This window comes from Homo sapiens, chromosome 9 (assembly GCF_000001405.40).
Source record: "Homo sapiens chromosome 9, GRCh38.p14 Primary Assembly".
NCBI lineage: Eukaryota > Metazoa > Chordata > Mammalia > Primates > Hominidae > Homo > Homo sapiens.
In genome coordinates this window covers 124,857,883-124,882,696 of record NC_000009.12, presented here as the reverse complement: position 1 = coordinate 124,882,696, position 24,814 = coordinate 124,857,883, and the positions used below count along the sequence as shown (strand labels likewise).

General features: G+C 52.6%; 3 protein-coding genes across 15 annotated transcripts in view, besides 17 other annotated features; 2 read left to right on the top strand and 1 right to left on the bottom strand.

Moving 5' to 3' along the window:
* Window positions 1-4,422, top strand: part of GOLGA1 (golgin A1) — a 69,769-nt gene extending 65,347 nt beyond the window's left edge. For 6 of the 9 annotated variants that reach the window (XM_047423242.1, XM_006717063.5, NM_002077.4 and 3 more), the window contains exons 20-23: window positions 128-187; window positions 743-913; window positions 1,440-1,526; window positions 2,087-4,422. In XM_047423242.1, coding sequence (XP_047279198.1) covers window positions 128-187; window positions 743-913; window positions 1,440-1,526; window positions 2,087-2,167 — 399 coding nt within the window. In that variant the 3' untranslated portion in view covers window positions 2,168-4,422. The remainder of the gene's footprint in view (window positions 1-127; window positions 188-742; window positions 914-1,439; window positions 1,527-2,086) is intronic. The other 3 variants (XR_929766.2, XR_007061280.1, XR_007061279.1) reach the window with 1 other exon arrangement.
* Window positions 1,360-1,913: an enhancer, noted in NCBI's record as "H3K27ac-H3K4me1 hESC enhancer chr9:127643063-127643616 (GRCh37/hg19 assembly coordinates)". NCBI's record gives its function as "activates a minimal SCP1, AML or CMV promoter by ChIP-STARR-seq in primed H9 embryonic stem cells {active_cell/tissue: H9 hESC(primed)}" and the evidence as "EXISTENCE:reporter gene assay evidence [ECO:0000049][PMID:30033119]".
* A 541-nt stretch (window positions 4,423-4,963) lies between the features above and the next one.
* Window positions 4,964-20,567, bottom strand: ARPC5L (actin related protein 2/3 complex subunit 5 like). 5 transcript variants are annotated; one of them, NM_030978.3, is made up of 6 exons: window positions 20,299-20,567; window positions 18,590-18,709; window positions 13,258-14,269; window positions 8,933-9,005; window positions 7,546-7,722; window positions 4,964-5,819 (listed from the first exon to the last, which is right to left on the bottom strand). In NM_030978.3, the coding sequence occupies exons 3-6, from the start codon at window positions 13,404-13,406 to the stop codon at window positions 5,757-5,759; spliced, it is 462 nt and encodes a 153-aa protein (NP_112240.1). In that variant the 5' UTR covers window positions 13,407-14,269; window positions 18,590-18,709; window positions 20,299-20,567; the 3' UTR covers window positions 4,964-5,756. The 5 variants fall into 5 exon arrangements, 4 of the variants coding, with proteins under 4 accessions (NP_112240.1, XP_047279897.1, XP_047279895.1 ...); XM_047423941.1 differs by lacking the exons at window positions 18,590-18,709; window positions 20,299-20,567 and adding an exon at window positions 12,852-12,894 and having other exon boundaries at window positions 8,933-9,030; window positions 13,140-13,503; XR_007061359.1 differs by lacking the exons at window positions 4,964-5,819; window positions 7,546-7,722; window positions 18,590-18,709; window positions 20,299-20,567 and adding an exon at window positions 11,162-12,894 and having other exon boundaries at window positions 8,948-9,030; window positions 13,140-13,503.
* Window positions 9,663-10,163: an enhancer, noted in NCBI's record as "H3K4me1 hESC enhancer chr9:127634813-127635313 (GRCh37/hg19 assembly coordinates)". NCBI's record gives its function as "activates a minimal SCP1, AML or CMV promoter by ChIP-STARR-seq in naive H9 embryonic stem cells {active_cell/tissue: H9 hESC(naive)}" and the evidence as "EXISTENCE:reporter gene assay evidence [ECO:0000049][PMID:30033119]".
* Window positions 9,736-9,965: an enhancer, noted in NCBI's record as "active region_28997". NCBI's record gives its function as "activates an Ori minimal core promoter by ATAC-STARR-seq in GM12878 lymphoblastoid cells {active_cell/tissue: GM12878}" and the evidence as "EXISTENCE:reporter gene assay evidence [ECO:0000049][PMID:35858748]".
* Window positions 11,802-11,851: an enhancer, noted in NCBI's record as "active region_28996". NCBI's record gives its function as "activates an Ori minimal core promoter by ATAC-STARR-seq in GM12878 lymphoblastoid cells {active_cell/tissue: GM12878}" and the evidence as "EXISTENCE:reporter gene assay evidence [ECO:0000049][PMID:35858748]".
* Window positions 12,312-12,751: an enhancer, noted in NCBI's record as "active region_28995". NCBI's record gives its function as "activates an Ori minimal core promoter by ATAC-STARR-seq in GM12878 lymphoblastoid cells {active_cell/tissue: GM12878}" and the evidence as "EXISTENCE:reporter gene assay evidence [ECO:0000049][PMID:35858748]".
* Window positions 12,972-13,021: a silencer, noted in NCBI's record as "silent region_20271". NCBI's record gives its function as "represses an Ori minimal core promoter by ATAC-STARR-seq in GM12878 lymphoblastoid cells {active_cell/tissue: GM12878}" and the evidence as "EXISTENCE:reporter gene assay evidence [ECO:0000049][PMID:35858748]".
* Window positions 13,282-13,851: a silencer, noted in NCBI's record as "silent region_20270". NCBI's record gives its function as "represses an Ori minimal core promoter by ATAC-STARR-seq in GM12878 lymphoblastoid cells {active_cell/tissue: GM12878}" and the evidence as "EXISTENCE:reporter gene assay evidence [ECO:0000049][PMID:35858748]".
* Window positions 14,152-14,231: an enhancer, noted in NCBI's record as "active region_28994". NCBI's record gives its function as "activates an Ori minimal core promoter by ATAC-STARR-seq in GM12878 lymphoblastoid cells {active_cell/tissue: GM12878}" and the evidence as "EXISTENCE:reporter gene assay evidence [ECO:0000049][PMID:35858748]".
* Window positions 20,321-20,540: an enhancer, noted in NCBI's record as "active region_28993". NCBI's record gives its function as "activates an Ori minimal core promoter by ATAC-STARR-seq in GM12878 lymphoblastoid cells {active_cell/tissue: GM12878}" and the evidence as "EXISTENCE:reporter gene assay evidence [ECO:0000049][PMID:35858748]".
* Window positions 20,561-20,830: a silencer, noted in NCBI's record as "silent region_20269". NCBI's record gives its function as "represses an Ori minimal core promoter by ATAC-STARR-seq in GM12878 lymphoblastoid cells {active_cell/tissue: GM12878}" and the evidence as "EXISTENCE:reporter gene assay evidence [ECO:0000049][PMID:35858748]".
* Window positions 20,561-21,239: a biological region, named in NCBI's record as "NANOG-H3K27ac-H3K4me1 hESC enhancer GRCh37_chr9:127623737-127624360".
* Window positions 20,616-21,239: an enhancer, noted in NCBI's record as "NANOG-H3K27ac-H3K4me1 hESC enhancer chr9:127623737-127624360 (GRCh37/hg19 assembly coordinates)". NCBI's record gives its function as "activates a minimal SCP1, AML or CMV promoter by ChIP-STARR-seq in primed H9 embryonic stem cells {active_cell/tissue: H9 hESC(primed)}" and the evidence as "EXISTENCE:reporter gene assay evidence [ECO:0000049][PMID:30033119]".
* RPL35 (ribosomal protein L35) lies at window positions 20,740-24,814 on the top strand. Its single transcript, NM_007209.4, has 4 exons — window positions 20,740-20,787; window positions 21,142-21,278; window positions 22,433-22,514; window positions 24,630-24,814. Exons 1-4 carry the CDS (start codon window positions 20,785-20,787, stop codon window positions 24,777-24,779), a joined length of 372 nt encoding a protein of 123 aa, NP_009140.1. The 5' UTR covers window positions 20,740-20,784; the 3' UTR covers window positions 24,780-24,814.
* Window positions 20,981-21,090: an enhancer, noted in NCBI's record as "active region_28992". NCBI's record gives its function as "activates an Ori minimal core promoter by ATAC-STARR-seq in GM12878 lymphoblastoid cells {active_cell/tissue: GM12878}" and the evidence as "EXISTENCE:reporter gene assay evidence [ECO:0000049][PMID:35858748]".
* Window positions 21,131-21,180: an enhancer, noted in NCBI's record as "active region_28991". NCBI's record gives its function as "activates an Ori minimal core promoter by ATAC-STARR-seq in GM12878 lymphoblastoid cells {active_cell/tissue: GM12878}" and the evidence as "EXISTENCE:reporter gene assay evidence [ECO:0000049][PMID:35858748]".
* Window positions 22,228-22,727: an enhancer, noted in NCBI's record as "H3K4me1 hESC enhancer chr9:127622249-127622748 (GRCh37/hg19 assembly coordinates)". NCBI's record gives its function as "activates a minimal SCP1, AML or CMV promoter by ChIP-STARR-seq in naive H9 embryonic stem cells {active_cell/tissue: H9 hESC(naive)}" and the evidence as "EXISTENCE:reporter gene assay evidence [ECO:0000049][PMID:30033119]".
* Window positions 22,728-23,229: an enhancer, noted in NCBI's record as "H3K4me1 hESC enhancer chr9:127621747-127622248 (GRCh37/hg19 assembly coordinates)". NCBI's record gives its function as "activates a minimal SCP1, AML or CMV promoter by ChIP-STARR-seq in naive H9 embryonic stem cells {active_cell/tissue: H9 hESC(naive)}" and the evidence as "EXISTENCE:reporter gene assay evidence [ECO:0000049][PMID:30033119]".
* Window positions 23,870-24,152: a silencer, noted in NCBI's record as "fragment chr9:127620824-127621106 (GRCh37/hg19 assembly coordinates)". NCBI's record gives its function as "represses an EF-1alpha promoter that drives an FKBP-Casp9 reporter gene in an ReSE screen in phorbol 12-myristate 13-acetate-treated (for megakaryocytic differentiation) K562 erythroleukemia cells {active_cell/tissue: K562(+PMA)}" and the evidence as "EXISTENCE:reporter gene assay evidence [ECO:0000049][PMID:32094911]".

Sequence of the window (24,814 nt, the reverse complement as noted above, 5' to 3'; positions counted from 1 at the left end):
AGGATGACTTCTCAGGGCAGAGGCTCCTCACAGGTGTACAGGGGATCCCGTGGGATCTTCGGGTCTGTTTCCTTTGGTGAAACATGCATCTAACGATTGGCTTTCTGTGGGGTGGGGCTTGTCGCAGACCATAAAGCAGATGCAGCAGCGGATGCTGGAGCTCCGGAAGACTCTGCAGAAGGAGCTGGTGAGTACTCGCATGGGAGCTGGCCCCACTTCCCAGCACTCCCCCTGCTGCCTGTGCCCGGTCCTCCTGAGGTCCCTCGCCGCCTGACTATGCTCCCTCCACCCCCTAATTAATTGCAAGGGATCGCTGGGCAATCCAACGTTAGCTGGTGGGACAGCCTGCCAGCCTGCATGCACCTCTGAAGCAGCTCCGTGGCTACAGCCCTGTTCCTGCCTTCTCTGAGCCTGCATCCTCATCTGGAAGTGGGGTTGCCTGCCACGCCAGCGCAGTGATGCTCTAACAGTGTGTGTGTGTGGCAGAGTGCTTGGCCTGATGCGGGATGCGAGCAGCTTCAGGCCCCAGGGACATGTGTTCTTGCCATGGAAAACGGAATGTCTGAATTTACCCAAACGATGTCACTCCCTCCTCAAGCCTACCTGGAGGTGCTTCCTTCCCAGGTGGGGCCCTTTTTGCCCTACGATAGTGATCATAGTTTGGACCAGGTGAACCTCCCGTGTGATTTTTTCCACCTGTCTCAGAGGGTTCGGTGTAGCATCTTTCCCACTGGTTTTTCAGAAAATCAGACCCGATAATGAGCTCTTCGAAGTCCGGGAGAAACCTGGACCTGAGATGGCAAACATGGCGCCTTCCGTCACGAATAACACTGACCTGACAGATGCCCGCGAGATCAACTTTGAGTACCTTAAACATGTGGTTTTAAAATTCATGTCTTGTCGCGAATCCGAGGTAAAGGGCTTTTGAGGTGTCTTTTGGGTATTGAGGCCCCGCCCTACAGTCTGTCCTGCAGGGACCCCTGCCCAGCCCCTTTCTCTCTTTTCCTCGTACATCCTGGTTTGACGCCCTTGTGGTCACCCAGTCATTTCTCCTGCTGGCGTTGGCCTGCGGAGTGAGCGGCTGGCGGGAGAGGCCGTGCAGGAACTGGCTCCTGGTGGGAGACATAGGCTCCACTTCTAAATCCTGGCCTGGGTGCTGAGGCCAGAGGCCGGAAGCCGGGAACGGAATCCACCCATCGCTCCTGGGTCCTGCCAAAGGGTAGGGTAGCTGCTGGGGCAGTTCCCTTAAGCCTGCCAGGCCCCCGAGGATGCAGGGGAAGAAAGAACCTATCATTGCTGCCAAACTTCAGAGTGCCAGAGCGTCACCCACCACCTGGTCCTGCTAACCAAAGCAAGCAGGAAATGCCACGTAGCTCCCCCGACCCCACCCCGCCTCACCTTCACCAAGGCCTATGGCAGCAAAACTTACTGTGTTTCAGGCTTTTCATCTTATAAAAGCTGTGTCAGTGTTGCTGAACTTTTCCCAAGAGGAGGAGAACATGCTCAAGGAAACTCTGGAATATAAGGTAGGGTTCTCTGGTCTACTGTTCCAGCTTCCAAGATACGTTGTCAGTTATCCCAGCAGTAGCAGTGTAAGACCCCTTAGACCCACACCCGAGTGTAGGCACCAGCACAGCTGCATGATCAGCTTGGCTGCTTTTGGATGAACTTGATCCAAGCACTTTTTAGCGATGACATCCTTTGTGCCCAAATGTCTGTGCTGTACTTGACCAACAGGCCACGTATTTTTCAAAGCATTTTCATTGATAGCGCTTTATCGAGAGCCCCAGGTCTGGCTCGGCACTCAAATTCCAAAAGCGTCTGCATAAATGCTCTAATAGGAAAAAATACCTGCAGTTCCACTACCTTGTTCCTGTCAACTCAGTGTTTTTCTCTCATTTCCCTCCTGTACTGAGCACGGGCCTGCAGACTGGTTACTGGCACCATCTTCTTGCTCTGCTCAGAGCCAGAGGCAGGATGTGTGGGGGGCAGGAGTGACAGGCTCACGGGAGGGGAGGGGCGGTTCAGTTTCCCTGGCACCAAGTCCTGATTTGCATCTCAGAAGCCTTTTCTGTTTCAAATGCAGATGTCATGGTTTGGGTCCAAACCAGCTCCCAAGGGCAGCATCCGGCCGTCTATCTCAAACCCTCGGATACCATGGTCCTAGAGGGGACTACCCAAGGATGGAGCTCCGTGGGTTGACACTTTTTCTGTGAAAAGAACACTGACACACCAGTCTGGGTGGGTTTTTAATCACTGTAACTGCAGTATTTTGTACAAGTGTCTAAACATTGTTTACAAGACTAAGGCCCACTTCCCTGCAGGCTGACCTGAACCTCAGGGGGTAGCTGATCCTGTCATTCTGGTCACCAAACAGGAGGGTCCTGGCACTACCCAGATTTCCACAGTGCTGCTAATATCCCAGCTCCAGCCAGCACCCCATCTGCACCTGAATCCTCTAACTTCACGGTAGCACTTACAGCTGAAGCCATCAGCATCTGGCAGGCACACCTGAGTCACCATGTAGCGCTGCTACTGGAGGTAGAGACGGCCCTTTGAGATGGTGCCCAGCAGGCCAAACCCACCTGCCTCTGCCAGGAACAGCCAACTCCATGGGAACTCTATGGGAGTGGCTTTTAAAAATTCAGATGAGTTAGAAGCTTTTTATCCCTTCCTCTCAAGAAAATATTCTTTCACCCTGTCTCTCAAACCACCTAGAACTTTAGAGGATCCATCTTTAAGGGTCGGTGTGGATGAATGAGAAAATGCACCTTTCTGACAGTATCTCCACTTTACTTAAGAAAACTAGCAAATATATGAAAAGACCCTTAGTACCAAATACACTCAATTGCCTTTTTAATGAATGTACTTGTCTTGGATAGGTTGCTGGTAAACCATTTTAAACTATTTTTTATAGCTGAAGTTCTTCACTACTATAAACATGTCTTCTGTACTATAAAATCCATTTAACTGGTGTTCTTAAAATCAGAGCGTCCAGAGGAAATTCTTCCTAAAACTAGGATTCCTGTTCCTTTGTCTTCTCACTCGCACTCTGGCACTGCTCCCTCTGAAGTGCAGTGGGATCTCGTGTGCTTTGTCTTGATTCTGTGCTGCGCTGCCGCTGGGCGATGCAGACCACCTGTCTTCTACTGAAGGACAGTCCGCTGTCTCCAGTGGGGGCAGCAGCTGTCCCCCAGCCTCGATGGAGACACTGGGGCAGTCTGCCTTGTCTGTGGAGCTGCTCTCTCTCCCTCATCCCACCCCAAATACTTAAAATGACACTACACCCAGACGGCGCCCAGCTGGCTGCAGCACTTGTAGCATGCACATGACTCTGGTAGTAACCAACAAAAACTTGTTTTATGGATTCCTCGTTTACTGAGGAAAGGGAACATGCTGGTTCTGGAAAAGCCACAATATTGAATCTAAAAGGAAACCGTTTATTGTTTGATGAAAGTTTCACTGGTTAAATAAAAAACTAAATTAATAACTGGAGCCTCTAAATTTATTATCCATTATCCAGTGATGGAAAGTTGTATTTCTCAATCATGCTTAGGGCCAAAATAGGTATATAAAATGTGTCACAGAAAAACACGCATTTGCAACGTTAACCTAACGAAATTTCCATGAAGAACCAAGTCAGGGCAGCATCTCCTTAGTCCCAGCTCAGGCTCTCTGCCTTCCAGAGGCCGCTTCTCCAGTGACTAACCTCCTCCTCTGGCTCCTCCTTGCAGACAGTTATCCCTTGTTTAGAACACGAATTTCCATTTACCTGGTGGGAACACGAAACAGGAGTCTCTTCTGTTCTGCAAGTTTGATGGGTAAGAGGTAGCCTTTTTTCAAAGTAGGATTTCCTTTTTCAACTGTTCCAGGAAAGAATCTCTAAGACTGGGTAGCTCACAGCCAGCCAAAGGCAGCTACATTTCCACAGAAGCCCATCCGCTGCCTCCGTGGCTTCTCCAGCCATTGAACTGGTCCCACACGCACCCCAGGCCCCACTCCTCGGCAGTTTCAGGTGTAGCTGTGGGGCCCGTTCCTAGGTCTGTACTCACTTTAGGGAGGCTTCACTGACTAGGCTTTCCTCCTGCATGTTGAATTTCCTTCAGCTTTAAGAGGAAGAGTGGAATAAATATTCTAAGTGATTTAATGCACTTTGACTTGTATAAAACTTTCTGTGTTAGCGACGGTATCTATAGCCCTTTATACGAGCGATGGATCTTGAGCTCTCCTTCCATGTTGTAAATAGGGATTGTATTCTTGAAAACTGCTGTAGCAAATTCATCTGTGGTGCAATACACTTTTTGATTAAAGCTCTTCAATCCAGATGCAACTACAATGGATTTTACTAGTTTGGTGTGTCAGTATTTCTTTGACTCATTAAATCTGGTATTTTGTGTCTCATATTTAACACTCCAAGGCCAACCTCAAGGGCTAGAGAATGTTTGTCTTTCTTTCAGAAAGAACCTTCCCAGACTGGATTTGGGTGAATAAATATACGTAATTTAATGAAGCCAACAGCCCCATTCTACCCCCCCCAAGAATTGCAGTGGTTCTGAAGAGGGACTGAGGAGGGGAGAGCTGTGGAGGGGAGGACTGTGTCACTTTGGTCAAAGTCTGTATCCAAAGGCTGTATGACCCAGAGGAGCTTCTGGAGTGTGAATGGGGCCCTAACCTTTAACAGAATGCAAGCTGCAGTCACATGTGCTGAAAAGGAAAGAAAAGCATTTTTGCCCTTCAGAGAAGCTCTGTTATTGGTTATGGGGAACCAAATTATACCATCTATTTGCTGATTGATTGCTCCCCATTTCTGACGTTTAGTTCTTTAAAGAAAGCTTGTCCATGCAGCAGTGATTCTGCAGCACAGCCAACCCAGCATCAGGAGACGTGACCAGGCACATCTGAGGCCCCACCCTCAAAAGATTCCAAGTGCAATCCCACAAACTGAAGACTTTTAAAGCCTAGATCAATTATTAAATGTTTGGCACTTTATTAAATTAATTAAATAAGCTCCAAAATTAATTACATACAAATCAAAGGAATAAGAAACAATAAATAGTTTATTCAGCAAACACCTCTCTGCAGCAGCCGGCAGCTCTGAGGCCGAGGCTGGCGTCCTGTGGCAGAGGGCCTGTGGATTGCCATGCTCGCTCCCAGGGGTGGCTCAACAGGGACACAGGTCTACTCCTTCCACATCGGGTTTCCGGAACAACAACTGAACTCTCATTCATTACCATCCCATTCATTACCATTTTTTTTTACATACACGAAACACACCGCAATGTATAGACTAATAAGCCAAGAGCTTTATTGATGCAGCAGGCACTTTACAATGAGCCCAAGAGTGTCCACCTTCTCTGGGAAGACAGGATGTCTGTACAAACTCTTGGGTTTTTTTCCACTTCAAAAACACAAGCTCTCCCGTTTACCACAGCCCTTGGATCTGCACCTGCCCAAACCATCCCTCCCCCAGTGCACACAGGTGCATCTGACCAACACCAGCCGCCACGCTGGTAGACCGTCAAAATGTCAGTTCTGCAGTACTCGGAGACAAAGGCATAGACTATCAGATCCTAAACAGGATTTAGGAAACAGACGATTTTCCCCTCCACCTTGAAAATAAAATACATTTCAGCAGATACATGTCCTGAAATAGTTTACTTGGGAGTTCCTAGGAAGATGGTCCATTGTCAATCCCTTCTTCACCAGCCTGGGCATCCAGAATTCTTCTCAAGGTAACATGAGTCTTTTTATTTTTTTTAAACAGTCTTTCTTGCTGTAAGAACTCTTATAATGGAGCCTAGTCCTCCTACTGCTAAGGCCTGTGGGGGCAGGAAAAGAAAACGTGTCAGATGAGACCTGGCTGGCCAAGGGGAGCCTGGCTTGCCAGAGACAGGGGGGACATTCCCTGACCTAGATCCCGTCACAGATCCTCGAAAGAGGATTCCTGAGATAGAGCACATTCTAGGGAAGGAGCCCTGTCCTGGAGCCGTGGGGTCCCGAGAGCTGTTGGCTCTTGGGCAGAACTGGCTTGAGAACACTGTCACCAGCACACAAAGCAGAGCCCTCGAGCTTCCCTTTTGAGATGGGGTCTCACTCTGTTGCCCAGATCACAGCTCACTGCACAGCCTTGATGTCCTGGGTTGAAGCCATCCTCCTGAGTAGCTGGGACCACAGGTGTGCACCACCAGGCCCGGCTAATTTATTTTTTTTGAGACGGAGTTTCGCTCTTGTCACCCAGGCTGGAGTGCAATGGCACGATCTCGGCTCACTGCAACCCTGCCTCCCCAGTTCAAGCGCTTCTCCTGCCTCAGCCTCCCGAGCAGCTGGGATTACAGGCGCCCGCCACCACCCCCGGCTAATTTTTGTATTTTTAGTAGAGACGGGGTTTCACCATGTTGCCCAGGCTGGTCTTGAGCTCCTGACCTCAGGTCATCCGCCTGCCTCCGTCTCCCAAAATGCTGGGATTACAGGCGTGAGCCCACCGCACCCAGCCTAGTTTATTTTTTTGTAGAGATGGGTTCTCACTACATTGCCTGGGCTGTTCTTGAACTCCTGGGCTCCAGCAATCCTCCTGCCTCAGCCTCCCAAAGTGCTGAGTTTACAGATGCACACAAGCCCACTGACTGCCGCCCGCTGAGGTGACTGGCAGGCACCAAGCTGCCTTAAAGGGACGAGAGGTCCTGGCCTCCCCATCATACAGAGGACTTGTTTACTTCCTTGAGCCCAGGAGAGGGGAGGCCAAGGAGGTGCAGCACACCCGCCAGCAGACCTAAGGCCACAACCACAGCCCAGCACCCACACCACCTTAAGGACTGGCCCACTGTAAAACCCCTCTCTTCCAACTCAACACTGAGCCTCTGAGGAAGGCAGGCAGGTTAGTAACTCCTGGTCTGCTTTAATGGTGGGCGTGCTTACTGCGGCACTAGGGGTGTGCAGGGGAGGGTGTGGGAGGCAGCCCCAGTGGTACAGGCACGACACAGGCTTGCCAAAGGCCTTGCTCTCACACGGACCCAAGCGAAGGGCAGACACAGCTCTTTCTGCTTCACCTGGACGAAGGCCATATTAAGTGAGGTCAAGGTTTCTGCCCACTGCTCACTCTGGCCTGCTAAGGCTGAGGCCAGGGCAGGAAGCCCTTAGAGCTGGCTGGAGGACTCTATTTCTAAGAACCCCCAACAGCTGCCTCCACCACTGCAAGTATCATGAAGCCCCAACCAACCAGCAGGCCCCCTTCCTACCTAGACTCCCTGACCACCTTACTATGCCATGTTATCTGCCCACATGTCCTGTACCAAGGGCACCCTGTCTTGCCTGACATAAATCGGCAGCTAAAAAGCAAAAAAGTAACTGCAATTACCACAGACAGCAGGTCCCTACCAGGAGCTTCCTTGGGAGAGGGAAGTGATGACATGTCCCAGGTTGGGGCTCGTCCTCTGACCCCACACGCCTATCAGACCGTCCTACGTTTGTTCTGGAAAATCTGGCCTGCTGATCGAACCCCAAGGCAAGCCAGGTGGCTCACTGGGGCGCGTGGCAGCGTTCACATACCTTTTCGTGCCACTGGAGTAACACTGCGCTGCTATTTTCTGTGGGCTTCTCAAAGCCTTTATAAATGTACTTCATTAACAAGTCAACGCCGTTTCTGTCCAGTGACTGCACAGCCTGCTCAATCTCACTGCTCTTGAAGTTTGTGAGCACTTTCAGCACCACGCCCTGGGCTCGCTCCTGCAGACGAAAAAGAGCAAGTGAGTCCCAGAGCTGCGAAGGCACCGCCATGCCATGCCCCACACCAAAGCAAGGACACAGATCACCAGAAACACTGCCCAGTTTCTAATTCGTCCAGGATGGTTAAAATAAGTGGGTTAGAACGTCTTTTGTGGATTTAAATTTCAAAGTATCTTTTATTTATGCCAACAAGTTACCCTACTTATTTTGGGGGAGTAAGTAGTTTACTAGGACAAGTATCAACTCTGAGAGAGAGAGAGAGAGAGAAGAGAAAAGAGGGAGAGAGGGAGGGAGGGGCAGGGTCTCGCTCTGTTGCCTGAGCTAGAGTGCAGTGGTGCAATCTCAGCTCACTGCAGCCTCTCCCAGGCTCAAGCAATCCTCCCACCTCAGTTAGGGCTACAGGCACATGCCACCATGCCCAGCTAATTATTTTTTTTATTTTTTAATACAGACAAAGTCTCGCTATGTTGCCCAGGCTGGTCTCAAACTCCTGAGCTCAAGCGATCCTCCTGCCTCCCAAAGTGCTGGGATTACAGGCATAAACCATGGCACCCAGCCCATCACTATTTTAGATGACACCAATAAGGCCTTATTATACTCCACAATGGTGGTGGACTATTAAAAAATAAAAATAAAACCAGGTTGACTCGGCTGCAGCGTCCCTCTTGTGTTCACACCCAGAAGGGTGGGGCCATTCCCCAGAACTCTGTGAAGGTGCAGCCACTGGTGACATCAAGATGCTGTCACAGCTGCCAGAATCCCAGCTGCAGGGAGACCCCTTTCTCTGAACCAAATTTTAGACTTGGTGATGCAGTAAGCACAATTTAGTTTTTAGAAGGTAGGAAAGCGTACGGGTACTTAAAATCCTCAGGCAGACAAAGCCTATTTAACAGTCTGTGGGAGCATAAGCACCACAGGTGAGCGAATTCATCCATTTTCCTCATCAGCCAGGGCCAGGCTGACTTCTCAGCCTACGAGGCCGTGAGCAGGAGTGAAGGCTTCTGTGGGGAGGTTCTCGTATATAAACGCTGACAGCGTTGATGTCAGAGAAGCCTCACCACCTAGGGAGCGCCAGGAGGCTTCCCTGGAAGCCCCGCCCAGTGCCAACTCACTCCCTCTGATGTGGATGAAAGCTCACACTCGCACTGGGCAGACACCCACAGCCCTGGTCCCAACAGCACCCAGCAGAGCCGCAGCGCCACCCCTTTACCTTCACAGCTTGATTCTTGGTGTTGACGGGAGAGTTCCGCAAGGCTGCATGGAATGCCCGAAGCATGTCCCCTGTGCATCACCACCAGTTAAGGATAGCTAGGCTCAAGCACATCCATGCCGTCATGAACAAGCTCACTTCAGAAACAGCTCAGGAACAGAGTCAGATGGGATCTCATCCATACCACCCACCTTCCACGGCTTCCAGGGGGGCAGAGACGGTTTACAGCCTGCACAGGGAGGCTGCAGGGCACCTCTGCCAACCATGCAAACCCTCCTTTCAACTCCCTCTCTACCTTCCACGTCAAAGCAACTGTCCTGGAGGGGTAACTTGATGTAAAATTGGATTGTGCTCACTTGCACCTGCTTGGTGCTGAGCACTGTATCTCCCCTACTGGATCCTCACAGCACCCGTACATGTGAACTGGAGGTCGTTCTCATCTTCTCATTCTAAAAAAGCGGAAAATGTAGGTACAAAGGGAGACCTCCTAACTCTTCATCAATGCTCTTCATCAATTAAACTATTAAGGAAATTAAGATGTGCTAGAACTTCTAAGATCTATCGGGATCAATGAGGTCCCAACTGTTACCTGGAAAGAGTTTATCAATCTAACAGAAGCTTTTGCCAACAATGAGCCAGTCTCCACCCTTACCCCCCAACCTCAGTTGCAATCCTGACAACACATTCTTTGCTGAGTTCTGAATACCCAGCATGCAAAAGAAAATTACAATCTGGGTTAGGTCCCCAAAGGTGACACCTATTTTAAACTGAATTACATCAGCCAACTTTCATTTCCTCGTATGAAACACTGGCTTCAGCCAAAAAGCTTCAAAAATAGAACAAGGAATGGCTTCTGCCCAATCGGGTCTCTACTCCTCTTCATGCAGTGATACCCACGTGCAGACAGGAAGGGCCTTCGGAGCAGAGCTGAATCTCCTGGCTTCCCCAGTATGAGATCCATCTTGAGTGAGCTGGGTCTGCGCCACCAGGCAAGCCACTCCCAGCGCTGGTTCCCCAGCTCCCTGCTTGGCTCTGATCCACCTTCCACACTCAAGAGGCAGTCCAGTCCCTCTGTCTTTCAGTTCTGGAGTTCCTTTTCCCCATCCAAACAAGGCCAGCCTGATATCAGCCACTGATAACCTCTACTTTGTAACTCCTTTTTTTTTTTGAGACGGAGTCTCGCTCTGTCGCCCAGGCTGGAGTGCAGTGGCGCAATATTGCCTCACTGCAAGCTCCGCCTCCCAGGTTCATGCCATTCTCCTGCCTCAGCCTCCTGAGTAGCTGGGACGACAGGCGCCCGCCAGCACGCCCAGCTAATTTTTTTTGTATTTTTAGTAGAGGCGGGGTTTCACTGTGTTAGCCAGGATGGTCTCGATCTCCTGACCTCGTGATCTGTCCGCCTCGGCCTCCCCAAAGTGCTGGGATTACAGGTGTGAGCCACCGCGCCCAGCCCTTGTAACTCTTTTCTAATGTGGTGTCCCCAAAGCAATAAGCAGGATCCCATAGGCTGAACAGAAAACATAGGCTCACTTGCTCTTCATGTAAACCTGGCACAACTAACAAATGACATCATTCAAATGATGGATGGGGAAGGGCAGGTATAAAACTAGTCCACGGGGGCAAAAAGCTACTGCTGTGGCGTTAACTCAGCACCACGCGTCCAGCAATCACTCGGCCCATTGATGGGTGAGGGCCTTCAGCAGTTGGGAGATGTGGGGCGCAGGGAGGACCTCCCTGAAGTCACCTATCATTTGTGAAGCCGGCTGTCATACTTGGCTGGCTTTAGGCCTTTTCAGAGAACAGGCTGTGGTGCTGAGGGAATCCTGCCCAGCCCTTGATCTCCTCTAGATCTTCCTCAATCACGGCACAACTGACACTGTGGACCCAGGATTCTCTGACGTGGGATCTTAGCTGTGTGTCATAGGCCTCTGCCCACTGGATTCCAGTGGCATCCCCAAGCTGTAACCATCAAAATGTCTCCAGTTTCCTGGGGGTGGAGGGGAAGGGTGCAAAATCGCTCACAACCACTGCTCTGGACAGAGCCCTGATCCAGAAGTATAGAAGCTGCTTCACTGAAGGGGAAAGGAACTCATACTTTTAAATCGCCACAAGGTCTCGGATCCTGTGCCAGGTGCTTTCACACGCCATCTCATTCCAAAAATCCTTGTGACAATAATCATTATCTCATTTTAAAGGCAATGGAATTGAGGCTCAGAGAACAGAAATTACCTGCGCAAGGTCACAAAACTAAGCTGTCTACACGGCCCTCACACCCAAGCTCCTCCCACAATCCCATGCTGCCGCTCTATCTGCAGACCCGAGCTGCATGTCCAGGACACTTGCTGTGTGCCCAGTGATGCTGATGTTAGCCCATGAGGCTCCCACGGAATCTAGGAAGCCAGCATGGCTGTCCGCCACGTAACAGAAGATGCTGAGTTGTGAAAGGGTATGCGACCTATCCGAGGTCACAGAGCCAGAGCATGGTAGTGCAGGGTGTGCGCAGATGCACAGCCGGGTTCCTTCTACTCCATCTGTGTCATCTCCTGCCACACACACTTCCCTATACAGCCCCAGGACAGGGCCCCTCTCTGCCCTCCCCAACCCCAATCCATCTATCCCTCTCCCTGCTCCCCTGTCCTCAATGGTCTAATATAAGTCCGATTCTTGGTACATGATAGAGACTCAATAAATATCAGTTCCATTCTCCTCCACCTGGGCCCCGTATTTGCCAGGGTTTCAGTTACCTTTATCCGTTAACCTCCCTTTCCCCAACCCCAAGTGGAGCACTCTCCATGGTAACAAGGTTTCTGACGCTTCTGACGCTGCCATGAATGGAGAAACGACCATCCCCTGGATGTGCTAAGCCCAGGCCTCTAAGCAGCCTCAAGGAACCTGTCACCAGGCAGGGGAGTCCCAAGACATGACCTTCAACAAGGTTCTGCACCCAGACCAAGGCAGCAGCTGACAGGCTTGATCTCATCTGTTCAATGAGAGTCCTGGGCCAAAGGCCTGACCCTGGAGCCCCTTTCAGCACTGACTGTCCATGAACTAGGCCCTACACCAGACTACAACCAACCTTCCCTCCTGGGGACCCTTCCCTTGACCCCATTTCATAAGGAGGGTGGATTGGGAGATCCTGATGGGGCAGGAATTACAAGCTTGAATCTCCACTTCGGAAAACACATTCCTGTTCAAATCAAGTCTGAAGGTTTTCGGTTTAAAGGCACACTCAGGAGCACTGCCGGGCTCCCCCTAAAGCAGCAGGCCCCACTTTCCAAGCTGAGTCAACTGGTTCAACACCGAGAACCTGATTTATGTACAGCATGGGCCTCCAACCCTGCCCCCACCCGTGCGGGGGGAGGGGACAGGCTTCCTGGAACACCATTTGAATAAAGAAAAATCCTTCCGGTGAGAATAAGTCAGTTTCCTGCGCTCATACTGCTAAAGGACCAAGCAAGGCTGTGACAATCACCTCTATTTTTAATCTTTTCTAAATGCTGTTTTCTGTGGCCACAAGAACAGTCATTTCCAGGCGTGGGGCTCCACTTTCACACTTCGCTTCAAGGTGTCTGGTTTTTCTTAGCTCTGAACTACTAGTTTTCTCCGCTGCTTCCTGCACCAGAAGGGTACTGGGGGGAGCCAAGACTCACTTGTTGAGCGTGGCTGAGACCACCAAGGTGTCCAGGGGAACCACAGGGTCCCCCTTTCTCAGCATTAAGCGGGAGGGTTAGACTGACTGGGGGAAGAGAGACACAATCTCAGACCCCAGGGCTGAAATACGGCGGCCGCCTCCACTCCCTCCTGGGTTCTGTCTTCCCCACAGCCGTCCACCCACCTATCTTCACGCCATGCAGCAATCGGGCCCCGGAGGACCGCGCCCCAGCCTCCCCGATCACTCGGTTACTCAGATGCGGCTCACCTCCGCCCTGCCGCCGACCCAGCCCCGCCATAGGCCCGATTTCCTGCAAGGGAGGGACGGAGTGCTGGGGCCCCAAGGAAGGGACAGCGTGAGGGGACGAGGAGGCAAGGAGGGAAGAGGGCGCGGGACCTGCGGGGGTGCCGAGGGAGCCCGTCCACCGGGTCCAGGGGCCTGCGGGACGGCGCTGCAGAAGAAGGCGCCAGGGCTGGGGACGAGGGACCCAGGGAGACTGGGACTCAAGGGAGCACGGCCCAGGGAAGCCGGGTCGGCAGGGAGCTGGAGGCTGACCTGAGGGGGCCAAGGGTCGGAGACAGGGGAGGCCCGCCCGAAAGGGCCCGAGAAGGTGGGAAGGTGGGAAGGTGAGAAGGCCGCGCGCAGGCCCGGACGCCGCGTCAGGGAAGGATATTGCCGCAGGAGCCCGTCCACCTCGCTCGGGTCCGGGCCTGGCTCCGCCGCCGCCGCCGCCGCCTCCTCCTGCTCGTCCACAAATTTGTTCTCGTCAAATTCGTCGATGTCCACCCGGCGGAAGCGCGAGGACAGCGTGTTCCGGGCCATGGCGGGAGCTCGGCGCCCGCTCAGCCGGCTCCGCTCGCGGCCCGACCTCGGCTCTGCTCCGCTCGCACCGGCTCCTGCTCGGGGGCGGGAAGCGGCTGCCCGGCTGCTCCCAGCACCTCCTCCACCGCCTCCGCGCGCAGCCGCCGCCGCCCGCCCACTTCCGGCACCCGCCGGATCCGGAAGCGCCGTCAGGGGCGGGGCGGAGCCTGGCACCTGGAGTGCGGTATGGGATCACCGCAGCCTCCCCCACCTCAGTGTCCCTTCCACGGAGTCTCTATTTTGTCACTGAGGATCGGGCGCCCGGCATCTGTGCAGGCCCCGCCTCGTGTGTGCCGTAACTGCGCTGGTTCCCCGGCTTTCCCGCGCCTCCGAGGAGCCCCTGGCCTCAGCGGGGCCGGGCGCGTGCTCCCGGGGTGATCCCTGCCGGTACTGGGGAAGGCTGGGCCCCCGGGAGAAGGCTCGCGGCTCTACTTCTCGAGTGCCGGGCAGGCTTCTTGGAGAAGAAACCTTCGAGCTGATGACTGAGGGATGAGTAGGAGTTCCTGTGCCCGGGGAGTGGCGCGGGAGGCGCCTGTGTCTCGGAGCCTTGAACGCCACCACACTTAGTACGAGGAGGCCGCCTGTACACAGAGGTGACCCTCTTAAAGGAGTAGGGGGCTTTAAATACGTTTAGTGCGATCACGGGACTGACAAGACGTTGAAGACGTTGTGACTCGAGGGATTCTGCGACCCCACGTGTGTAGCAGTCACCTTGGCCAGGCAGTTGGGGGCGCCAGGAGAGGGAGATGGCCCTGTGGCCACCGTCCTGGCAGGAGAGGCCTGGCTGGAGAGGCACATCTTGACAGAAACCAAATTCTCAGAATCTGAGATGGGGGAAAGCGGTTTAGGGAAGTCAAGGACGACTCTGAGGTGCCAGATTTGGTGCCTGGGCTGTTATCCCAGGGGTTCTGTTAATTGATCTTAGCCTTAGGGTAAGTAAAATGGGTCTTTTTATATAATAGTGTGAAAACTATTTTCATCTAATAGTACTCTTTTTAATAAAAGTCAGTAGTTGGAATGTGATTCATTTTTGCTGCTTCGAATACCTCTCATTGAACTGTGTCTAAAGATAAAAAAAATATTGCCAGACTATGATGCAACCTTATCTTCGGTGGTAAGGATACAGACTCCCATAGTGGGAAACTAGTGGTGAAGAAGTCTCTGCCTGTAATCCTCAGCACTTTGGGAGCCGAGGTGGGCGGATCACCTGAGGTCAGAAGTTTGAGACCAGCCTGACCAAAATGCTGAAACCCCGTGTCTACTAGAAATACAAAATTAGCCGGGCGTGCTGGCGCATGCCTGTAATCCCAGCTACTCGGGAGGCTGAGGCAGGAGAATCGCTTGAAACCGGTAGGTAGAGGTTGCACTGAGCTGAGATCGCGCCATTACGCTCCAGCCTGAGCGACAAGAGCAAAACTCCGTCTCAAAAAAAAAAAAAAAAAAGAAAAGAAAAGAAAAGTCTCAGGGGTCCTGGAAACATGCAAAGCCCACCTGCAATACAGTTCCATATCTGGGAAAAAATATTTGTGATTCAGGTCTGCCACGAGACAGCAGAAATTCATATCCCCAGAACATCCTGGTCAGAAGGAACTTGAACCCAGAAATGCCCATTTTACAAGTAAAGAAACAGCCCCCAAAGAAACTAGTAAATGGAATAATGTCCCAGCTCATGGTCATGGACTTTCATTCCAGCCAGGGAGACACAATTTAAAAATCCATATTATACGATGTCAGGGCTGACAGTGTTGAGAGGGAAAAAAACCATGCAGTGCCTGAGTGTGCCTTAGATAAAGTGATCAAAGGAGGTGTCCTGGCCGGGCGCAGTGGCTCACACCTGTAATCCCAGCACTTTGGGAGGCCCAGGGGGCAGATCACCTGAGGTCAGGAATTCGAGACCAGCCTGGCCAACATGGTGAAAACCCATCTCTACAAAAACACAACAATTAGCTAGGCATGATGGCGCACACCTGTAATCCCAGCTACTCGGGAAGCTGAGCGGGGAGAATCGCTTGAACCCAGGAGGCAGAGGTTGCAGTGAGCTGAGATCACACCATTGCACTCCAGCCTGGGCGATGGAGTGAGATACCATCTCAAAAAAAAAAAAAAAAAAGGTGTCCCTGAGGAGGTGACACTAGACAGAGACTGGAAGGAAATGAAGGAGGCAACTAAGCGAAGGCTCAGAGGTTGGGGTGGGCTCAGTATATTCGAGAAACAGCCAGGAACAGAAGAGAGATGAGGTGGGGGTTGGGAGGAGAGTAGGGCTCTGTAGGCCGAGGAAAGGACTCAGTCTTAATTCAAATGGGACAGCCCTGGAAATTCTGAGCAGAACAGTAATAGATCAGAAGTCTGAATTGTTTGAAAAGGGCCTTCTAAGCAGCTGTATTGAGAACACATCTGGGATCGAGAACCAAAGTAGAGAGGTGATTTAGATGGTGACAGCAACCATCCAGGGGACAGACAGTGGTAGCCCAACCAGGCAGGGGCCAATGAGGATGGTGGGAACAAGCTGGGTAAATTTTTTTTTAATTTTTTTGAGACGGAGTTTTGCTCTTATTGCCCAGGCTGGACTGCAATGGGGCTATCTCAGTTCACCGCAACCTCTGCCTCCCGGGTTCAAGCAATTCTGCCTCAGCCTCCCGAGTAGCTGGGATTACAGGCATGCGCCACCATGCCTGGCTAATTTTGTATTTTTAGTAGAAACGGGGTTTCTCCATGTTGGCTGGCCTAGTGTTGAACTCCTGACCTCAGGTGATCTGCCCACCTCGGCCTCCCAAAGTGCTGGGATTACAGGCATGAGCCACCGTGCCCCACCAATTTCTTATTTTGTTTTATTTTATTCATTTTTTTTGAGATGGAGCCTCACTCTGTTGCCCAGGCTGGAGTGCAGTGGCACAGTCTCAGCTCACTGCACCCTCCACCTCCAGGGTTCAGGTGATTCTCCTGCCTCAGCCTCTGGAGTAGCTGGGATTACCGGCACCTGCCACCACACCTGGCTAATTTTTGTATTTTTAGTAGAGACAGGGTTTCACCATGTGGGCCAGGCTGGTTTCAAACTCCTGACCTCAGGTGATCCACCTGCGTCGGCTTCCTAAAGTGCTGGGATTACAGACGTGAGCCACTGCGCCTGACCTGTTTTTTTGTTTTTTTAAGAGGGAGTCTCACTGTGTCGCCTAGGCTAGAGTGCAGTGGCCCAACCTCAGCTCACTGCAACCTCCGCCTCCAGGGTTCAAGTGATTCTCCTGCCTCAGCCTCCCAAGTAGCTGGGAGTACAGGTGCACACCACCACGCCTGGCTAATTTTTATATTTTTAGTAGAGACAGGTTTTCACCATGTTGGTCAGGCTGGTCTCGAACTCGTGACCTCATGATCTGCCCGCCTTGGCCTCCCAAAGTGCTGGGATTACAGGTGTGAGCCACCACGCCCAGTCCCAATTTTGTTTTTTTTGTTTTTTGTTTTTTTGAGATGGAGTTTTGCTCTTTCGCCCAGGCTTGAGTGAAGTGGCGCAATCTTGGCTCACTGCAACCTCTGCCCCCTGGGTTGAAGCAATTCTCCTGCCTCAGCCTCCCGAATAGCTGTGATTATAGGCACCCGCCACCATGCCCGGCTAATTTTTTTTGTATTTTTAGTAGAGACACGGTTTCACCATGTTGGCCAGGCTGGTCTCGAACTCCTGACCTCAGGTGATCCACCTGCCTTGGCCTCCCAAAGTGCTAGGATTACAGACGTGAGCCACCTCACCCGGCCTTAAGTTGGGTAAATTTTGAAGGTAGAGTACCTGGAATTTACTGGTTGACTAGATGTGGCGTGTAAGAGAGAGTCACAAATGACTTCAGGTTCGAAAAAGATGTGCAGAGTCATTAACTCTAAGCATTTAAAAATATAACAGCAAAGGCACTGTGCACCATTAGACTTTCCTTTTTTTTTTTTTTTTTTTTTAGACAGAGTTTCCCTCTTGTCACCCAGGCTGGAGTGCAATGGCCCGATCTCGGCTCACTGCAACCTCTGCCTCTGGGTTCAAGCGATTCTCTTGCTTCAGCCTCCAGAGTAGCTGGGATTACAGGCGTGCACCACGTGAGCCACCACGCCCGGCCTAGACTTTCATTTAAGACTAAGCTATGCCGGCCAGGTACAGTGGTTCACACCTGTAATCCCAACACTTTGGGAGGCCGAGACAGGTGGATCACCTGAGGTCAGGAGTTTGAGACCAGCCTGGCCAACGTGGTGAAATGCCGTCTCTACTAAAAATATAAAAATTAGCCAGGCATCATGGCGGCACCTGTAATCCCAGCTACTTGGATTACAGTAGCTGTAGGCAGGCTGGGAGGCTGAGGCAGAAGAATCCTTTGGACCCAGAAGGCAGAGGTTGCAGTGAGCCGAGATTGTGCCATTGCACTCCAGCCTGGGCAACAAGAATGAAACTCAGTCTCAAAAAAAAAAAAAGGTCCAGGCGCACTGCGCCGTGGCTCATGCCTGTAATCGCAGCACTTTGGGAGGCTGAGGCAGGCGGATCTCTTGAGGTCAGGAGTTTGAGACCACCCTGGCGAAACCCCGTCCCTACAAAAAATACAAAGATGGGCCAGGCGCGGCAGCTCACACCTGTAATCCCAGCACTTTGGGAGGCCAAGGCAGGCGGATCACAAGGTTAAGAGTTCAATACCAGCCTGGCCAACATGGTGGCCAGGTGAAATATGGTGAAACCCCGTCTCTACTAAAAAAACAAAAATTAGCTTGGCTTGGTGGTGCATGCCTGTATTCCCAGTTCCTCGGGAGGCTGAGGCAGGAGAATCGCTTGAACCTGGGAGGCAGAGGTTGCAGTGAGAGCCGAGATTGTGCCCCTGCACTCCAGCTTGGGCAATAGAGCAAGACTCCATTTTGGAAAAAAACAAAAATACAAAGATTAGCCGGGCATGGTGGCACGCACCTATGTAATCCCAGCTATTCAGGAGGCTGAGGCACAAGGATCGCTTGAACCTGGGAGGTGGAGGTTACAGTGAGCTGAAATTGTGCCACTGCACTCCAGCCTGGGTGACACAGCAAGACTCCATTTCAAAAAAAAAAAAAAAAAGTCTAAGCCATGCCGGGATTGCCCTCTCTCTACTCTCTTTTTTCCCCATATCCCTCCACCTCCTGAAAGCCTTCCTCACCTTGGTGTGGGTCAAGGTTCATTAATTCATCCAACAAGCATCCATGTACTGGGCCTGGAGACTAGAACAATTAATTCAGTTGTCCGCCAAGGTTCTGTCCCCAGAGAACTTCTAGGTTGGCTGTGGAAATAGACACATAAATGCATCATTTTATTTCAGCCTGTTTGGGGCTAAGGAAAGGATTGCACAGAGGTTGCTACTCATAGGAGATGGGAGAAGTCTCCTTGTGGGTGGTTACAGCTGGTAGTAACAAGAGGACAATCTGGCTTCAACCATAACTCTAAGAGGTGGCATGTCTTTATTAAGGGCAAGGGAGTGGCACTGGAGTGCTGATTAATGCCTACTGGTTGGCAGACATTAATCAGAAAGCCTAAACATGCCCTGCCTTGTGAATTCCCGTTTCACTTTCCGGGCTCTACTGAAGTGTTCCTTCCTCTGGGAACATGAACACCAATGATATTTTGAGCCATTGTTATGCGTCAGATTTCGGGTTAACAGCTTTACAGATATCTCCTCTAATTCTCATAAATGCCTCATTTCACATGTGAGCAAACTGAGACTCAAGAAAGGGGAAGAGATTTCCCAAGAGTCTCAACTACTACCTTGGCAGCAGAGCAAGAATTTGAAACCTGGTCAGGTTCACTTTAAAAAAGGCTGTACTAGCCGGGCGCAGTGGCTCACACCTGTAATCCCAGTATTTTGGGAGGCTGAGGCGGGTGGATCACTTGAGGTCAGGGGTTTGAGACCAGCCTGGCTAAACCTTGTCTCTACTAAAAATACAAAAATTTAGCTGGGTGTAGTGGCACACACCTGTAGTCCCAGTTACTGGGGAGGCCAAGGCAGGAGAATCTCTTGAACCCGGGAGGTGGAGGTTGCAGTGAGCCGAGATCGCGCCACTGCACTCCAGCCTAGGCGACAGAGCCAGACTCCATCTCAAAAAATATATAAAAAATAAAATAAAAATAAAAAAGGCTGTATGGCCAGGCGAGGTGGCTAACCCCTGTAATCCTAGGCACTCTGGGAGGCCGAGGAGGGCGGATTGCTTGAGCCCAGGAGACCACCCTGGGCAACAGCTCTACAAAAAATAAACAAATTAGCCAGGCCTGGTGGCTTGTGCCTGTAGTTTCAGCTACTCGGGAGACTGAGGTGGGAGGGCTGCTTGAACCCGGGAAGCGGAGGTTTTGGTGGGCGGAGAGCGCGCCATGCCTTCCAGCCAGGGTGACAGAGCGAGACCCTGTCTGAAAAAAAAAATTAAAAAATAAAAAAAATAAATAAAGGCTGGGGCCAGGCGTGGTGGCTCACGCCTGTAATCCCAGCACTTTGGGAGGCCGAGGCGAGGGGATCACCTGAGCTGAGGAGTTCAAGATCAGCCTGGGCAACATGGCGAAACCCCGTCTCTACTAAAAATACAAAAAATTAGCCAGGCGTGGTGGTGCATGCCTGTAATCCCAGCTACTCAGCTACTCGGGAGGCTGGGGCAGGAGAATCGCTGAACCCGGGAGGCGGAGGTTGCAGTAAGCCGAGATCGCGACACTGCACTCCAGCCTGGCACCCTGGGCGACAGAATGAAGCTCTGTCTCAAAAAAAAAAAAAAAAAAAAAGGTGTAAATGCTCTTTGCAGTTCCATATACTGCCTCCCCAGAACCTTTATGGAGTTGGATTATAACTGCCTGAGCCCGCCCCTCCCGTCCATCTCGCGCTTTAAATTCCTCCGCGACGTGAGCCTCGGTTAATCGTCTTTGAAAACTCTGGCCCCTCCTCCCGTCAGCACCCCCAGACTACTGGCGCCCAGCTCAGAGTTGCCCAGATTGGGAGATCTGCAAGGTTTCCCGAAGGAATGAATGAACGAATGACTGAATGGACGAATTTGAGTCCTCCGTGTGCCATCTCTGGTAGCTGCCGCCCACGTTGGGCCTCGGTTTCCCCAACTGCGCGCCTACACCGTGACGCCGACCTCGCTATCAGGGGTGCCGTGAATGAGGCGAGCACTACAAGGCGGGGCTCCGGCCCTACCAGGCGGGGCGGGCAGTACCACGGCGTTCCTCGGGGGCGGGGGAGATGAGGCGGAGCCGGGGCTCCCCCGCTGCGGCGCCATTGGCCGCGCCCGCCGCCACCCGGCAGTAGTTGCGGAGGTCAGCCCCGCCTACTTCCTCTTTCCCTCGGAGCGGGCGGCGGCGTTGGCGGCTTGTGCAGCAATGGTGAGAGCTGCGGAATCGGGCGCCATCCGAGCGCTGTGAGGCGCGGGGGTTGGGGAAGGCGGTGCGGGCTGAGCCCGCGGATTCTATCTGCCACCTAGGCCTGTGGGGCGCCGCGCAGAATGGTCTGGCGCCACCACAACCCGCCTCTTCGCTTGGCGCCGGGAGAGGCGCGCGGCCCGGGCCTGGGTTACTCTGCCCAAGGCACGGCCGGCGAGGGAGACTGTCCTGAGCCCTGGTTGGGGCTCCGGCGCACTCGTAGTCGATGGCGAGTCGCGCGCCTTTGGGGGCTGGCCACGCAGGTGAAGGGGATATGGCCCCGCGGCCTGGCTGAGGCACACTCTCTCTTGCGCGCAGGCCAAGATCAAGGCTCGAGATCTTCGCGGGAAGAAGAAGGAGGAGCTGCTGAAACAGCTGGACGACCTGAAGGTGGAGCTGTCCCAGCTGCGCGTCGCCAAAGTGACAGGCGGTGCGGCCTCCAAGCTCTCTAAGATGTAAGTGAGGCGGCCGGATCACAGCCCTCGTGGGTGGGGAGCACGTGTGCATCGGGATCGTCGGAGGATTTCAAAGTTGGCTTAAGGAGCTGGCCGCTTAGATGCCCACTCCGTGCATCCTGGCGCGCATGGGAGACCCGTTGTGTGCTTAGCCTCTTACCTGCCTTGACCTTGCGGTCCTTGTGCCTGGAATGCATCCCCGGAGACCCATCTTAATGCTGCCTTCAAAGCCTACCCGGACCCCTTCCTTCCGCTTCCCACCAACACTTGAGTTTTTAACCCCCTTGGCAGGTGGGTGGCTTGCACCCTGGAGTGGCAGCGTAAGTTATTTTACATGGCTAAGAGTGCGGGAGACTTGTGAAAGGAACATGGGTTTGGAGTTCATCAACCTGGGTACAAAGTCCACTTCTCAAAAAAAAATTAGATGGGTGTGGTGGTACAGGCCTGTAGTCCCAGCTACTCTGGAGGCTGAGGCAGGAGGATCACTTGAGCCCAGGAGTTGGGAGGCTATGATGGGGCCACTGCTCTTCAGTCTGGTTGACAGGTGAGACCCTGTCTCCAAAAAAAAAAAATGGTGGTTGCCCTCTTTGCCCCCAAACAACCTTAGTAGAGGCAGGGGTGGGAGGATTGGACAAGCACAGTTGCACACTGAATCCTCAAAAACCATGTTGACCAGCTGTCTACTAGGTGACTCCCTCATCCTGACATGACTACAAATAACTTCTCCCTGGCTCGTTGTTTGCTTCAGTCTCCTGGCTTGTAGTGACTCCACTTTGCAAATGTCTTGTTTCTCTCTCCTGCAGTTCCCTAAGCTAGCCTGATTGCCTGGTTTGTGGCATGATTCCTTCCCATCAGCTCATTGAAATTGGCATTGGTTGGGTCTTAGCCCTCAGGATAAATTCGTGTTCTGGGATTGAAGGTCTTTTTCTGATCTGCCTCATTTATCCAGCCTGCACTTCCTCATAAAGCCTCTGCTGTCTCTCCCATGCCCCTCTCTTCCCTCCTCAGACCTCACTCCCAGAACGCCTTCCTCCTGAGTGAATATGGATGGGTTGATGGGGGAGGCTGCAGCTATTGCTGCCCTATGTGTGAGTCCTGAGTCTTGGGTAGTGCTATGTGTCTTCCCTATCTTCACTGACATCTCTGTTTTGTAGCCGAGTCGTCCGGAAATCCATTGCCCGTGTTCTCACAGTTATTAACCAGACTCAGAAAGAAAACCTCAGGAAATTCTACAAGGTGAGTCTGCCTGGACATAGGGAGGGTTGGCTGCAGGAAGCCAAGTGCTAGCCGTCCCTGGCCGGGGACATGGTAAAGAGGTTTTTCTTGGTGCGTGGGCTGAGAGTGGTTAGCCTTCCCAATTTGTTGCTGGGCTCACTCTTCTACCAGTGTCTTGCACTGGCACGTGGCTCTGCAGACCACTTCCTCAGGCTGCAGATGTCAAGAATTCATTGGGGCTTGGGGTGTCCTGGCTGGAGACTCAGTTTTTGAAACCAGCCTTCCCAGTTGAGTGGCTTGGGCAGTGATAGGACTGGCTGTTGAAGGTTTTCACTGCCTCTTACTGGCACTGGGTGTCAGTCCCTGCCAGGCACCTGCCATGCTCATTTTTCAGATGAGGGCCCTGAGGCCTAGACACCCACAGTCAATGGCATGATGGGCCCTGGTTCCAAACCTTACCTTGGGGAGGGTCGGCTTTAGTGTTCTGGGAGGTGTGCACAGGTGTCTGGCCCCCTCTTAGTCTTGAATTTTGATAACCATTTTCTGGTCTTGTCCTTAACATTCATCTTATTGGGGTTCAAGCAGAGAAAACTAGGGGGAGACGGTGTGTGCACATGCATCCAATGTATTCTGAAGAATGGGCATAGGTGATTGTGGGGGCTGGCTGGGACTCAGGGCTCAGGTTGAAGCTGCTGTTCCCAGTGGGTACTTGGAGGGAGCCTCAGCCCTGTGCTTAAGACTTACAGCTGATTGGATCGGGCCTTCTGGGATTACCCAGGATAATCTCCCCTAAAGTTACCTGATGAGGGTCTTTAATTTCATCTGCAAAATGGTTCCACATCACTACCCAAATTGTGTTTGAATAACTTGAAGATTTGACACAAGGGAAAAGCAGCCATGGCTGATGAAGTGCCACAGGCCTATAACCCCAGCTACTGGGAGGCCGAGGCAGGAGGATGGCTTGAGCCCAGGAGTTAAAGTGTAGCCTGGGCAACATAGTGAGGCCTCATCTCAAAAAAATGAGAAGGGCCATAGTGTGGCTATGTTAGCTGTTCAGGGGACACTAGCACGTGTGTGGCAAAAGTAAACCTTTAATGTCAGCAGCTACGTGTGTGGCTAGTGGCTGCTCTGTTGGACAGCAGAACTCTAGGGGGTTAGCCAATGTGAAAAGGACGAATGCCCAGCCGATGCCAGCAGGAGTGAGGGATGTGGGAGGACAAAGACTTTCCTGCTTCCAAGTACCCTCCAGGGCTGGCCCTCATTGTCCAGGATCTTTCTGCAGTCCTCTGCCCACCTGCAGGGGCCTGGGGCCCTGTGACCTCAGAATCCCCCATACCATGGGCCACTTGTTACCTGTTCAGTCTTCCCCCACTAGGCTGGGACCCCTGAGCAGGGACTGGGTCAGATCCTTTGCCAAGCCAGCTCCCAGCACAGGGCCCAGTCCTGAAGGGGGCCCAGGGGACCTTTGCAGAACACAGGAGAGACCAGTGAGAGCTGCCATGGTCTAGAACCCCCTGCTGGAGAACAAGTGGGGCAGGAGTGGGAGCCAAGGATGGAAAGACAGATGATGGCTCTGTGACAGCTGTGGGCAGGGGCCCCAAAGCCGGAAGCAGGTGGGGCAAGTGGCCTTGGCCAGCCAGGCCTCTGAGGCTGGACGTTCATACAGGCAGCAGCTGGTGGGCCCTGCATACAGATGGACAGAGTACTGCCTCAGCCCCCAGCATGCTCTTGCTAACCAGAGCCGAGGTAATGGTAACTACCCCCGGGGCTTGGTGGGTGCTGCGTGCCCTGTACTAGGTTGTCATGTGACTGTCCTCGTGACTGGGAATCGGGCAGTGGAAGGAGCACTGAGTTGGGAGTCACTTGACTGAGATGCAAGCCCCGGCTCTTCCACAGCTTTGCCAAGACTTGGACACTCAGCCCAGTAGGTCAGCAGACTTACATGAAATGAGGATGGTCCCACCAGCCTTAGATTTGGGGGGATTAATTGAGTTAGTGACATGTGTGGCCTGCTGGCAGTCCCATGGTGGCAGCCTCCTCCTGAGTGGCTCTGGATGGCCCTCCCCAGCCCCCTTAGCTGCTGCAGTAGCTCCTCAGCCCTGGGTCCTTGGATTCACCCTGCCGTCTGTCTCCCAGGGCAAGAAGTACAAGCCCCTGGACCTGCGGCCTAAGAAGACACGTGCCATGCGCCGCCGGCTCAACAAGCACGAGGAGAACCTGAAGACCAAGAAGCAGCAGCGGAAGGAGCGGCTGTACCCGCTGCGGAAGTACGCGGTCAAGGCCTGAGGGGCGCATTGTCAATAAAGCACAGCTGGCTGAGA

Coding starts and splice junctions, on each gene's coding strand:
- RPL35 (NM_007209.4), top strand. Junction 21,279..22,432: donor GCCTCCAAGCTCTCTAAGAT/GTAAGTGAGGCG, acceptor TCTGTTTTGTAG/CCGAGTCGTCCGGAAATCCA. Junction 22,515..24,629: donor ACCTCAGGAAATTCTACAAG/GTGAGTCTGCCT, acceptor TCTGTCTCCCAG/GGCAAGAAGTACAAGCCCCT.
- ARPC5L (XM_047423938.1), bottom strand. CDS start 13,406: ATGGCCCGGAACACGCTGTCCTCGCGCTTCCGCCGGGTGGACATCGAC. Junction 12,895..13,139: donor CCGACCCTTGGCCCCCTCAG/GTCAGCCTCCAG, acceptor CCTCCCTTGCAG/GAAATCGGGCCTATGGCGGG.